Source organism: Homo sapiens, chromosome 11, assembly GCF_000001405.40.
Source record: "Homo sapiens chromosome 11, GRCh38.p14 Primary Assembly".
Taxonomy (NCBI): domain Eukaryota; kingdom Metazoa; phylum Chordata; class Mammalia; order Primates; family Hominidae; genus Homo; species Homo sapiens.
The window spans coordinates 87,227,456-87,242,071 of NC_000011.10; the positions used below are offsets into that span (position 1 = coordinate 87,227,456).

The following is a 14,616-nucleotide window of genomic DNA, read 5'->3' on the forward strand; positions in this document are numbered from 1 at the left end:
TGCTCTTTAAGATTTTTATACTTTCCCTGTATTTGTTTTATCAAGGAATAGAAACATAAAAAAAAATTAGGTAAAGCTGCTAATCCAACACAAATGAACTAATTAAAAAAATGGACTGTATATTATGGGAGATTTTAATTAAACAATGATTTAAAAAATTTGTTATATGACAATACATAGCTATTTAACTTTAGGATAGTGTTGCTTAAAATTACATATAAGACAAGTAAATATTATGATAATGATATGTTGCATATATTTTGACTTTGAACACACATTGTAAATTATAATAATACTTACTTGTTCAGTAAGAGCTGTATTCACAAAGAGACCATGCAATAGTCTGTTTTCAGAAAAGTTGAAGATGCTTAGCAGAGTCTAAAGTTTAGTCTTTTAAAAAAGTATATGAATGGGAGTACTGTTTAGTTTCTTTGACAGATGGTTTCTTTAAATAGAAACTAACATTATAAAAACTCTTATTATCAATAACGTATCTACGTATGTGGTTCTAAAAGACTCTGCCCTCTGGGACTTTGTGTTCTAAGTAAGTAAGAGTTATAAAGAAAGTATACAAACAACACCAAAACCATTGCTTAAATGTATTAAATAATTAAAATAACAATATAATCAGATGTTTTGGTGAGTGCCACCTATAGGATGAAGTGTAAATACTTCTATCCTATTGTGTTCTATTGGAATATGCCTGCATTTCCACCAAACTATGTTCTTCAGGGCAACAAGAATCAAGTATTAGGTAGTTATTTTCCCCTAGTGTGCTGGGACTATAGCAGATATGGAATAAATAAATGAAGGAGGGTGAGAATTTGTGGTTCCTTGTCTTTTCTGTTTTATTCAAGATCATGAAGGCTCCTGAATCCGGAGCTTACCTTTCTACATCTGTCTCCTTTCAAGTTGCAGAGTTATAAAATATTAGAAACACATGACACCAGATTAATTTTTGTTGAATGGATAGGTAGAAACATGTCTAAAATATGAATGAAGTACAGACGGCGCAAGAGGAAGCGTATTGCTCTTCTTGAGAAGAGCAATGAGTGTCAGTATTTATCTGAGTCATGGAAGGAAGAGGATCTTAATGAATACGGGGGGAGATGAGTTTGGTGAATAGTGAAGGCTAGCTAGGTTCACTACTCACTAAGCACCAATGTCTTTGGAGATACTCAAGAAGGAATGGCCACAGGCACTGTGATCAGGTGCAAAAATCAAATAATCAAATACACTAATGAAAAGCAGAAGAGTTCTGTGGTGGGAAATAGTTAAATGTACCATGTGTTCAGTTCTCTAGTAGAATTTAAAATGGATATATGTTTTAACCACTTGCAGGCTTAAATAGTAAAAACAGCTTTCTTTAACAGGCTGTGTTTACCTTCAGTCATGTTCACATTTTTGATATTTCTGATTATTTTAAGGACTTCCTATATTGTGATTTTGTTTCTTTGCTACTGCTTGTGAGGCATAGTTTTCGTGTAATTCTACATGACATAGTGATGACAGAATAGTACAGTTTTTCTTGAAAGTTTTGTAAGACCTATAACAGGAAACAATATATTGTAAATCTGTCATTTCCTACAAAGTCTTTGCAGAGAGAAAACACTATTTTCCAGCTGAATGAACTTTATTTGCACATTATTTGTTATACTTTCTGTACCCTCATGTTATATTGGCTTAATACATTTTGACGTTTCTTTTATGTGTTTGCTTTTATTTAACCATCCATATTTTTGTTGATAATAAAATTCCATGTTTTCATATAAATATATTCAGTTTCAAAAAAACAAAATGGTTTCTAAAAGGCCATTAACCCAACTAAAAATAAAGCATACGAAAAAGTAGTTTAACCAACCAACCAGCCAACCAAAAAAACAAACAAAAGGATTATAAACCTGGGAGGCTCAGCTTCACTAATAAGAGAGATGTAACTATAATATGAAATAATATTTCTTTCACCCATCAGACTGGCAAGGATAAAACAGTTTGATAAAACACAGTTTTTATGGGTATAGGAAAATAACTAGTGTAAGGGAATAGCTACTTTCATATGCTGTTGTGGGGAGTATATATTGGTATAGTTTTCTTTGGAGGTCAATTTGGCAATATTTGTCAAAATTAAAAATGTACTTGTCCTTTGACAAGAATTCACCTCCAGAGATGTTTACAAAGTATGCTTTGGTATTTAGAAATGTTTATTGCATCCACTCTGATTCATAGGAGACTTTAAATAAACTTCAGCATATCCATATGTGTATGCTTTGTGTATGTAAAATTGAAAAGTATATGTCTTTAAGACAATGTCTTTATTTGATGTGTATCTATGTACAAAGGTATGTACATACTCATACAACATTCTATAAAAGTCCAAAAGTCTTAGAAGGGAACTTTCTTTTTGTTGTTATTCTGTTTGAATTTTTGTTTTTATCATGTACATGCATTACTTTTTTTGTATCAGTTTAACAGCTTTTTTGAGGTGTAGTTTATATGCTATAAGATTTACCAGTTTAATATATCAGTTTCGTGGGTTTTTCAAATATTTACTGAGTTGTGTGGCATCCAACCCTGCAATCTAATTTTAAAACCTTTTCATTTCCCCCAAAGAATTCTTGTACCTATTAGCAGTCCTTCCTCATCATCCCTTAGTAGTTCCTCTCCATCACCCCTTACTCCTCCAACTCTAGGCCACCACTGTTCTACTTTCTATAGGTGGACTTGCCTGTTCTGGAATTTTATATTAAGAATATCATACATAATTGGTCTTTGTAATTGGCCTCTTTCACTTAGCATAATGTATTAATGTATTTGAGGTTCATCCATGTTTTAGTATGACTGATATTAATTTTTGAATTTAAAACTTTTTTTAAAAAAAGTGAAAACAGCAATTTCAGAATTACTCATCCTTCTGAAGTATATTGCCCCATGGCTGTGAAGTGGTAATGAATTATAGAGAAATTTTTTCAAGTTAAAAATTACCATGTATTGAGCATCTATGATGGTGCTAGTCACACTATTAGGCTTTATGTATGTTACATTATATATAAATCCTTATGGCATATGTAATAGGTAGTATTATATTGTTTCTACAAGTGAACAAATTAAATGATATGATCATTGATTTTTTGTGTCAATTTACACATGAAAGTGTAAAGTATATATATGTGCAGATGTATACTTTGCAGCTAAAGTTAAAATATGTAAAGTGCTAAAACATTGCTGTAATACACAGTGAAAATGTCATTCACTGTCTAGAGATGTCCAGTAGAACTTTTTGCAGTGATGAGAATGATCTATATCTGTCCTGTCTGTTATGGTATCCACTACCACATATGGCTTTTGATTACTTGAGATATGGCTAGGGTGAATGAGGAAACAAATTTTAATATTATTTAATTTAATTAAAATTAAATTAATTTAAATTTAAATAACCACACTCTGATTCCAGTCATGATTTGATACCCGTGATAGATTTGCTCTTCCAGTTGGAGAGTGGAAGCAACTTGATCAAAAACATGAACAAAGTCTATGAAAAAATGGTATGCAAGATCCTGGATATTAAGTATTGAAGGACAGTGTTCCCTGAGATATAGGAAACAAATGTGCTCTACAGTTACCCAAGCTTACTGTCTAGAGAGAATTTCCAGGCATGGATCAAAGAGGCGTCACTCAGACAAAACCTAGAGGACTTTCTGAGTTGAGGAAATAAAGCTCAAAGTGTAGGCGGACCATGCTGGATAGAGTTCACAGAACAGGGGACTAGAGAGGAAAGTACTCAGCTGATTACTGAGTAGGGCTTACATGTGAGGAAACTGCTCCAGGCCAAAGAAGGAACAATCTGAAGAATTAGAGGTTTTTAATTGAGTAGTTAGCACTCAAACAGGAATAGGAATACTGTTTTATTAGCCAGACTGGAAAATCTCAAAGATTCACATGGCATTGGGTAAAGTACACATAATGTTTTACCTTAGTAATGGGGAATAATTAGCCCTGGATTTCATTTCTTGTTAAAATATCTTAAAAGCAAGTCTTTAAAAGATCAAACCATTTCCAAGTAACTGTGTCTCACGACAAAGCTCAAGAAAACTTATGGGAATACAAACATAGACAACATCCATTAAGGTAAAATTTAGAATGGCTGACAGCCAGTAAAAAATTACCACCATGCAATAAGAAATAGGAAAATTTGAGCCATAATGAAGAGATAAATCAGCAAATTAATGCCAAATGAGAACTTATAAATATGTTAAATTAGCAGGCAAAGACATTAAAAAGAGTTATCATAACTGAATTTTATAGTTTCAAAAAGTTAGAGATATGGAAATAGGGGGAAAAAGGAAAAATGAAACTTCTAGAGATGAAAATTAAAATATGTGAGATGAAAAGCTTACTGGATTGTATCAATGGCAGATTATACATTGCAGAATAAAATATTAGTGAACCTGAAGACATAAGAATAGAGACCATCTAAAATGAAACATAGAGAGAAAAGAGACTTTTTTTTTTTTTTTGAGACAGAGTCTCATTCCATCACCCAGGCTGGAGTGCAGTGGTGCAATCTCACTCACTGCAACCTCTGTTTCCTGGGTTCAAGCAATTGTCATGTCTCAGTCTCCCAAGTAGCTGGAATTACAGATATGCACCATTATGACTGACTAATTTTTGTATTTTTAGTGGAGACAGGGTTTTGCCATGTTGGACAGACTGGTCATGAACTCCTGACCTCAAGTGATCTGACAACCTTGGCCTCCCAAAGTGCTGGGGTTACAGGGATGAGCCATCGCGCCTGGCCAAGGTTTTGTTTTTTCTTTTTTAATCACCAAATAAAGATAACATCTGTGAGTTGTGGGTAACCTATTCATGTAGTTGGAGTTCTTGAAGCAGAGGAGAAAGGAGAAGAAAAAATAATGATGAAATAATGACTGAAAATTACTCAAATTTAATAGAAACTGTAAACCCACAGATCCAAGTAGCCTAATAATTCCTACTACAGGAAATATTTTGAAGACTACCCCAGGCACATCATAACAAATTGTGAAAAGACAATGGAGTGACATTTGTAAACCACTGAAACAGAATGATCCATCAACCCAGAATTCTATACCCAGCAAAAGTATCTTTCAAAACAAAATGAAAAAACTTTTTGCAGACCTACATTTTTAAGTCAAAGTGATTAAAATATGATGAATTTAGATGTATCTGTACATACATGCACTATGGATGACAATAATAGCACAAAGGTCGAGGGCAGAAATGGAAATACATTATTGGAAGATTTGTATTCTATGTGTTAAGTAGTATAATGTCATTTGAATATAGACAATTTAGAGATGTGTACTATAAACCATAAAACCAACACTAAAATAAACCAACAAAGGGAATAAAATGGAATTATTGAAAAATACTCAGTTACTGGGGGCAGTAGCTTATACCTGTAATCCCAGCACTTTCAGAGGCCAAGGTGGGCAGATCACCTGAGGTCAGGAGTTTGAGACCAGCCTGGCTGACATGGTGAAACCCCATCTCTACTAAAAATACAAAAATTAGCTGGGTGTGGTGACACATGTCTGTAATCCCAGCTACTGGGGAGGCTGAAGCAGGATAATTGCTTGAACCTGGGAGGTGGAGGTTGCAGTGAGCCGAGATTGCACCACTGCACTTTAGCCTGGTGACAGAGTGAGAGTCCGTCTCAAAAAACAAAGCAAAACAGAACAAAAACTCAGTTAATCTAAAAGGGGCAAAAAGGAGGGGAAAAAACAGTAAGAGACAAGTAGAGAAATAAATAGCAAGATGATAGATTTAAACATAAGGATACCAATAATCACATTAAATGTAAATAGTCTAAATATCTCAATTAAGACACAAAGATTTTCTGATAGAATAAAAAAGCAGGAAACTATTATATGCTGCCTACAAGCAATGCACTTCAAATATAAAGACCCCAATCAGTTAAAACTACAAGAGAGCTAACATCAAGCCAAAGAAAGGTGGAATTACCATCCAACAAATAATGGGAGAATGCTATAAGCAGCTTTTTGGGTGAATATGTTTATTATTTTGCTTATGATGATTATTTTACAGGTATATAGCTATGTTGAAACTTATGAAATTGTACACTTTAAATATGTACAATTTATATTAATTATACCTCAATAAAGCTATTAAATCATTTAGATAGCCACACGTGTCCAGTAACTACAGTATTGGACTACAGTATCCTGTAATGTCCTTGAGGGTCAGAATTATATTTAAATATCCTATCTAGCAGGTACAGAGTAACCACTTGGCCAATATTTGTTTAATGAAGGAATGTAAGATACAGCTAGCTCAGTGAGTATGGGCATATCACTTACCTTTTCAGGATCTGAGTTTCCTGATGAAAAAATATGATGGTTTGTTTCAAAATTTATCTCAGCTCTAAAATTCTGTAATTTCAAACACAGAGGAAATATTCTTCATTATTTAACTGTGGATTTAGATTTATTTGGAAAAATACTTTGTGAAAGTCACAACGATAAACTAGCACAGTTTTAAAAACTTTTTAAAAACTTAGCTAAAAATGAAATGTTGTTTTTAGCATCTTTAACTAAAATAATAACAAACATATTTTGCATTAAGTTCCCATCTTTCTTGATAAAATCCAAAATCCTTCCAGGGGCTCTATGCATATGGTCCTCTGGCTTTTCTCTTATAGTGTCTCTGCTAACAAGTCTCTTCTTCTTTGACCACTTTGTATAAAATAACAATCCCCAGTCTTCTGTATTTCTTTTTTCTTATTCTACTTTATTTATCTCCAAAACTCCTACTACTGTCTAACATACATCTTTTTAAAAATATATTCTCTCACCTGGCTAGAAGATAAGTTCCATGAGGGCAAAGACTTTTGTCCATTTTGTGCATTGTTCTAAGTTTTAGAACAGTGCCTGGCACGTGGTAGGAATTCAGTAAATATTTGTTTAATGAATCAGTCAATTGCACTGTAATATCCTTTTGATTTATTCTCCTAATTATTGGTGATATTAGAGATTTCAAAAGGGCTGCCTGATTAAAAATAATTTCTTTCCAGATTTATGTCTCTGGGTTAGGTTTTTCTATCTAGATCACTTATGTCAGTTACAAAACAAGATAAAAACAATCTGCTGATGCCTCCACTTTTATATGCATCATCTCACTAATTCTTCTAAATAATTCGAAGTATGATATTATTCTCAGTTTATAGATAAGGGGTCTAAGGTTTAGGGAAATTATATAAAGTATCTAGAGTTACCCAGAACTAAGATTCAAACCCAGATCTATCTTACTCTAAAGCTTGAGTTCTTAAACATTGTACTTTTTCTCAGTTTCAAGTGTATTATTTGTAAAGATAATTATCAGTTTAGTACGAACACAGATAGGTTAGCATATTAGGATAGAACCTGGCAACATTTTGAGGGAAGGCAGACTTTGGATATTTAGAGAAGATGAAGAGTGTGTGAAAGATTTGTGGGATACTTCTAGAGAGGTTTTTAGTGTGATCTGCAAGGGGGACACTGATTAGTGCAGGAAAAGTCTGAAGCATTGAACATCTGGGAAGGATGACATTGTCCAACGGGGATTGAATGATAGAGAAATTTAAAAAAATTGAGTGTCATGACTGGGTTTTGTTAGGCAAATTATAACCAGTAAATAAACCCACTTAGACTTCAATTTATAATCAATTAGAATAACTGAAAGTTATTTTACATGCTTTAAGTTATGTTTCTAAAAACAGTGAAATGGTAAAATGAACCTTATGCATCATGGATAGGGTGTTTTAAGTCAGTGGAGAAGAGAGATGGAGAGAGGAAGGAAGGAGGGAAAGAGGGAGGGGAGGAGAGTATGTGTGTTTAGCACAGAAAGATTTTATAGATATAAAATGTTACATAAATATATATAATATTTACTTCATATTAATTGATAACAATCCTCTTTTTCATTGGTATATTTATATATTTCTAAGTCATTCAGGCTGTATGTATAATGCTTATCTTAGGCTAAGACAGCAAACTTGTCAAGCTTGATTTGTAATGGCAAAACTACCATGCTTTCATCAGGTTGACTAGAAATTATTTGTGTTAGAAATAGCAAAACATTTTTTGCAGTGTTTTCATTTCTGTTCTTGTGGTCACCCTTTCACAATAGAAAGAAGGTTCATTTCTTATTTGTCTGTGATGTGAGGCCATTGACGATTCTTAGGCTTAATTTGTACTGTTGTTTTTTAACATAAGAATGCATTCTACAATTTTAATTTTTGTGATTTAAAACAACTTTTCTAATCTGTTTTTTTGGTATAACTAAGACGTTAGTCAGGACTGGAGTTCTGGGTTCCTTCAACATACCATCTTAATATGTTGTGTTTACTGTGATGTTTTTGAGATCATCATTTCAGATGTTCTTGTGCCTGCTTCTAGAGGAATTACTTTTATAGCTAGTCTGTATTCCACAAAGGAATATTGTATTTTTATGAGCTTTTCTTATTGATTAGAATTGGTTGACAACTGGACTATATTTTACATTAGAAGATCTGGTCATCTTCATATCATAGTTAATAACCTTTCTGATTTATTCACTGAACTGATTATACAAAAGCTGTTGTCCTTGTTTTTAAGTTAAGCTTGCATGTTTAGGCTTTCTAACAGACAGTTAAAAATTAGCTGTTCCCTTTTTTGTGAACCCTGTTACCCTTCTATCCCGTCTATATATGTATGTATTATATATAATTATATACATGATGATAGTTACATATAAGTATTGCAATTTATTCTCCTAATATGGGCTATATTAGGGGTGTCCAATCTTTTAGCTTTTCTGGGCCACATTGGAAGAAGAAAAATTGTCTTGGGCCATACTTGAAATACACTAACACTAATGATAGTTGATGAACTAAAAAAAAATTGCAAAAAAATCACAATGTTTAAAGAAAGTTTACAAATTTTGTTGGACCACATTCAAAGCTGTCTTGGGGCTCATGCAGCCTGCAGGCTGCAGGTTGAACAAGCTTCGTTTATATGAAAGGTTGAGGAATATGAAATGTGTGTGACTGGTTTGTATATCCTTTTATTGTTTCAGGCACAAGATTTAATAGTATTTTGCTTTTATGAGTCACTCAAATGGTGATGTCAGTGTTCTTTTGCAAGTAATATATTTTCTCTTTGTTACAGGTCCTTTTGTTTTGCATCACAGCTGCCATGTACATGTTCTTTTTCAGGTATGTTCTGTTATACTTATTTACTTTAATACCCCAAACAGTATCTCTTTGTAATTTCATCAACCACGAAACTAAAGTATTCTCCAAATAATTATCCCTTACAAGCAGCATACTCCCCCCGCACCCCCGCCCAGAGTGGACAGAGGTAAATCATTGCTCCTTTGTGAGTTAAGAAAAGAGAAAGAGAGGGAAGGAAGACTTATTCTCCCCACCCCCCATTCTATTTATAAGTTCATCCTAGAAAGTTGAATATGTCAATTAATAGGACTCAAATCCTGATAAGTGAATTTTTATCTTTTATGGACCTGATTGTATGTAAATACCTAAGTGTTTTTCACTCTGCTTGTAAAACAATCAACATTTTACATTTGGATAAGAAAAAATGACAGTAGATCTCTATCTAAGCCTTCTGCAAGGATAACCTAGCACATTAATGATAGTCTGTAAAATATTGTTTGTTATAATGTCAAAGTTGTACTTTTCATTGACACTGGTCTCAGGTTTGTTGGGGGCTAAGGGGAAGAGTGTTAGGATGGCCCAAGATTTAAATGCCAGTAAGAGGGATTTCTGCCATCTTCGTATAATCCCAGCAGTGTGCGAATGATTTTTGATTAGGGAGAGTCCCCTCCTTTATAATCTTTATTTCTTTATTTTTAGTGATACCAATTAATTTCCATTTATTTTACTCTTATTGCCCTCATTTGGATAGATCTTTTTATATATTTATGGATCTAGCAAAATTCAGTCTTAGCAGACAGGACCAGGCTTTTCAAATTAAAATCTGTGCTTAATTAGCAAAGACAGTTGCGGATTTTTAGTAGGATATATTTGGTAGATATATTTCTTTAAGAATAAAACAATCCAACCATACCAGAATTTTTAAAAAAATTTTTATTTTTAATTTTTGTGGGGACATAGTAGTTGTACATGAGATGTTTTGATACAGGGATATGATGAATAATAACCAGATGCTATTATCCTTTGTGTTACAAACAATCCAATTTACACTCTTAGTTATTTAAAAATGTACAATTTATTATTGACTATAGTCACCCTGTTGTGCTATCAAATAGTAGGTCTCATTCTTTCTTTTCCTGTACCCGTTAATCACCCCCACCTCCCCCTGCTCCCCACTACTCTTACCACCCTCTGGTAACCATCATTCTACTCTCTATGTCCATGAGTTCAATTGTTTTGATTTTTAGATCCCACAAATAAGTGAGAACATGTGACATTTTCCTTTCTGTGCCTGGCTTAATTCACTTAACATAATGATCTCCAGTTCCATCTGTGTTGCAAATGACAGGATCTCATTCTTTTTTATGGCTGAATAATACTCCATTGTATATTATGTACCATATTTTATTTATTTATTCATCTGTCAGTGGACACTTAGCCTGCTTCCAAATTTTGCTATTGTGACCAGTGCTGCAACAAACATGGGAGTACAGATATCTCTTCGATATATTGATTTGCTTTATTTTGAGTATATACCCAGCAGTGGGATTGCTGGATCACATAATAGAGATCATAAATCTCTATTATGTGATTTTTAAACCACCAATTTCCTGCTAGTATGTCCTAATAAACATTTTATAAAGCACAATTATATAATTTTAAATTGTTTTGAGTTTTAAAAATGTCATATGCAAATAAAAAATGATGATGTTACTGTAATTATTCTTGTAAAGAGACAGCCAGGCTTTTAGAAGGGGAAACATAGATGACGAGTCAAGGTAGGGAGGACTTGAACTGCAAAAGATTTTGTATCAGTCATTGGGATGCATAGGATTTTGTATCAGTCATTAATGACTGAAGAATTATTGGAGCTGTCTGGTTGTCTTTGTGAAATTGTTTGATCTATTTATTACTTTTACTGTATCTGCATATGCAATACACTTTTCCTGTGGCCTCTTTCCTATATTTTAATAATTTAGAAGTGGGTTGTGGGAGTTAGGAACAATGACTCATTGATTTCTAAAAACTTCTTAATTGTATTCAGACACATTATTAAGACAATATTCCAAAAAGTTCACATAGTTTGTCTTCATATTTTTATGTTCTATCTAGCCTGAAGATATAGCATACCCAGTAGGGAAAATGCAATCGTAAAAAGCTTAAAAACTAGAAACATAACTTGTTGACATACACAAGAAGAAAGTCCAATCTCAAGTAAATTTTCTTTTTCGTGAAAATTCCTAACAGAACAGGTATTTAAAATCTTTCCCATTGTGGCACTTAAAGACATATGTGATTAACGTGTAGCATTTCTTAGTCATCAGAAGTTTTTGAGGTTTAAAAATAAATCATTTGTTAAATACACCAATAAAGACCCAATTTATAGCATGGGTCTAGGAAATTATGTTTTGAAAACTGCTGCCATCAACCCAGTATTTTTGGTGTAGAAAGAAAATCAACCCTATAAATATGTGTTTTGGTGCAGAGCTACGGAACCTTTTCCTGTTTCAGTCACAAGTCTAGGTTAAAAACAACAGTTTAAAATACTTTCCAGAAGGCTCAATACAAGGTTTAAGTGCCAAAATAAACACTTTTAATTTTCTGAGGAAAGGGGTTGTTTTTCTCCTAAAAGAAGTACTATCACCAAATTCGCTGTTCTTGGCAGAAGTTTGTTTGAATAGCTCAACAGAGGTTTGGTAAATGGTAAAATCAAACAATTTATAAAGTATTACAACCAAACAAAACAATATTAGATTTGTCTGTATGCTAGCTTGTGTTGGGAATGAACAAACACTATTGTACATAACACTTGGCAGGTCCAATTGCATTTGAATATTTTATTTTAAAATTAAATTTTATTATAAATACATATATTTGAGGACACATTTATTTCATTTATTAACAATTATGTTAAATCTAATTGCATGAAGTTGGATAGTCAAATGATATTGTTCCCAGGACTCCATTTATGGTAACCTCCTTTGAGAAGAGGATAGGGAAGAATTTTATATTTGAAATAAGTCAACTTGTGTTTTTATCCTAATCTGTGAATGGGCAAAGGGGAAATGGGGAAATGAGGCCTGCTTTCAATAAAAAGAAAATATGCCAGTTTTTTTTTTTTCAAAGAAAGAACTTGAGAAGTAGTTTCATAAATATTTTCCAAAGATGTCACAAGATGTGATGACTATACTATGAATTTACTTAAAAGCAACACGTTTTTGATATTGAAAACTATGTGAAAACTATAATGTGTAATGAAATAACTTCCTTTTACATAGCTCTTAATAGTTTTTTAATAGTTATTTTACATATATTATCTCATATGTTATAATCAGATTTTCATATTATGCACCAGAAGTAAGGCTTACGTTCAAATGGAATCATCCACTTACTTCTGGTGTGTAATGTGAAATGCTTCAAGGCTTGGGCTGGCAAAAGGTACTGTGCGAGGAGAGGGCTCTACTTCTGTTCTGGTCAGCTGGCCTGCCAGCCATGTAGCTAGCTATCACAAGTGTCTCTTGATACCCATACATGCTATGGATTCTGTTAGGAACTGGATTACAAGGGAAGGTGAAATATATCCTGAGGATGTTTTGAAAGAGCTTTTTGTATAATCTTAGTGGGCATTCTTCATAATAGTTTTACATCCTTTGTTCAATCACCTTATTATTATTATGTATGCTATTATCATTGCTGTACCTTAGGGCATTGTTTGTTTCTATCGATTTTGGCCAAGCAGAAGTCATATTTAAAAACTTTTTAGAAAATTTGGTCTCATGCACCCCTTGAAATAATTTCTTTACTTCCAAATATGTATTTATGGGCAAAGCAGTTTGCATTCATCATAATTTTTCATTCAGGATTGATTGGGGTCTTCCCAACAGTCATGTAGAAAAGAGATCAGTTTCTTTTGATTACTAAATCTTTTAATTAAGAAGCAAAAGAAAGAATCAACAATAAACATCAAAACTATTGCACTTAACCCTACTCACACATAAAAAAGAAAAATGCAACATTTAAAAATATTAATTCATTGATTTTATACCCACCATTAGGTATCTGTCTATGGGGAATATTTGAGAGAAAAGAAGTAGTTTTGCATAATTTTTATAGATAAATTTAAAATAGTACTGTAAAGTGTATTATAACTCCTTCAATCCCAACCTAGTAAGTACCAGCTAGAAATTCTTTCCACATCCCTTTGCAAAAGCAACAACAAATCCAAGTTTATTTTAACATATAGATTGAATTGTCATAGCAGTTAATCTATAGACTATATGGGACTGATTCACAGTAGAAATATCTTAAATAATCTGATGTCAACATTGTGCAGCATGGCAGTTTCAGTTAGAAATCAGTGTAAGTCAGAGTTTATTGTTATACTTTAAACTTTTAGAAACATTTCTTTTTGCCATTTGAGAATTCTAATCAATTCTCTGTGAAGGCATAAATAAATGATTTTATTAGTCTCAAGGTGTAGATTTAGTTTATCTATTTAAGAAAACCAGACTATTTATTGGCTGGACAACCTGCAAGTCTTGAGTGAAAGACTTGTGATTATTCTTGAACATCTTTATATAAACATACCTTAGTATATTAGAGATAACTTTAGAAGCATATAAAAAACTTTTGATCTTGGCGTTTAAACCATTTACTGATTTTTAAGTGAAAGGTCTTTAATGTTAATTCGGTTCTATGTTTATTTTTAATTTTTAAAATTTTTAATTTTTATAGGTATATAGTAGGTGTATATACTTACAGGGTCCATGAGATGTTTTGATACAGGCATACAGTGCATACCTAACTGTCACATCAGGATAAATGATTCATTGCCTCAAGCATTTATCATGTCTCTGTGTTACAAACATTCTAATTATATTCTTAGTTATTTTTAAATATACAATAAATTATTGTTGACTGTAGTCACCCTGTTGTGCTATCAAATAGTAGTTCTTATTCTTTGTATCTAACTATATTTTTGTACTCATTAACAAACTCCACTACCCTCCACCCTGCCCCACCACTATTTTTTCCAGCCTCTGGTAACCCGTATTCTACTGTCTATCTCCATGAGTTCAATTGTCTTAATTTTTAGCTTTCATAAATGAGGGAGAGAACATGTGATTTTTCTCTTTGTTTTCCTGGCTTATTTTACTTAAAGTCCTTGAGTCCCATCCATGTTGCTGCAAATGACAGCCTTTTTTTTTAAAAAAAAATTTATTATTATTACACTTTAAGTTTTAGGGTACATGTGCACAATGTGCAGGTTAGTTACATATGTATACATGTGCCATGCTGATGTGCTGCACCCATTAACTTGTCGTATAGCATTAGGAGATATACCTAATGCTCTCTCCCTGCCCCCCACCCCACAACAGTCCCCAGAGTGTAATGTTCCCCTTCCTGTGTCCATGTGTTCTCATTGTTCA

General features: G+C 32.9%; 1 protein-coding gene across 5 annotated transcripts in view; it reads left to right on the forward strand.

Moving 5' to 3' along the window:
* TMEM135 (transmembrane protein 135) overlaps positions 1 to 14,616 on the forward strand; it is a 290,891-nt gene that overhangs the window by 189,522 nt on the left and 86,753 nt on the right. For all 5 annotated transcript variants that reach the window (NR_033149.2, NM_022918.4, NM_001168724.2 and 2 more), the window contains one exon: positions 9,183 to 9,229. Coding sequence is in view for 4 of the 5 variants with exons in the window: in NM_022918.4 (NP_075069.3) it covers positions 9,183 to 9,229 (47 nt within the window). In the remaining variant the exon portion in view is untranslated. The remainder of the gene's footprint in view (positions 1 to 9,182; positions 9,230 to 14,616) is intronic.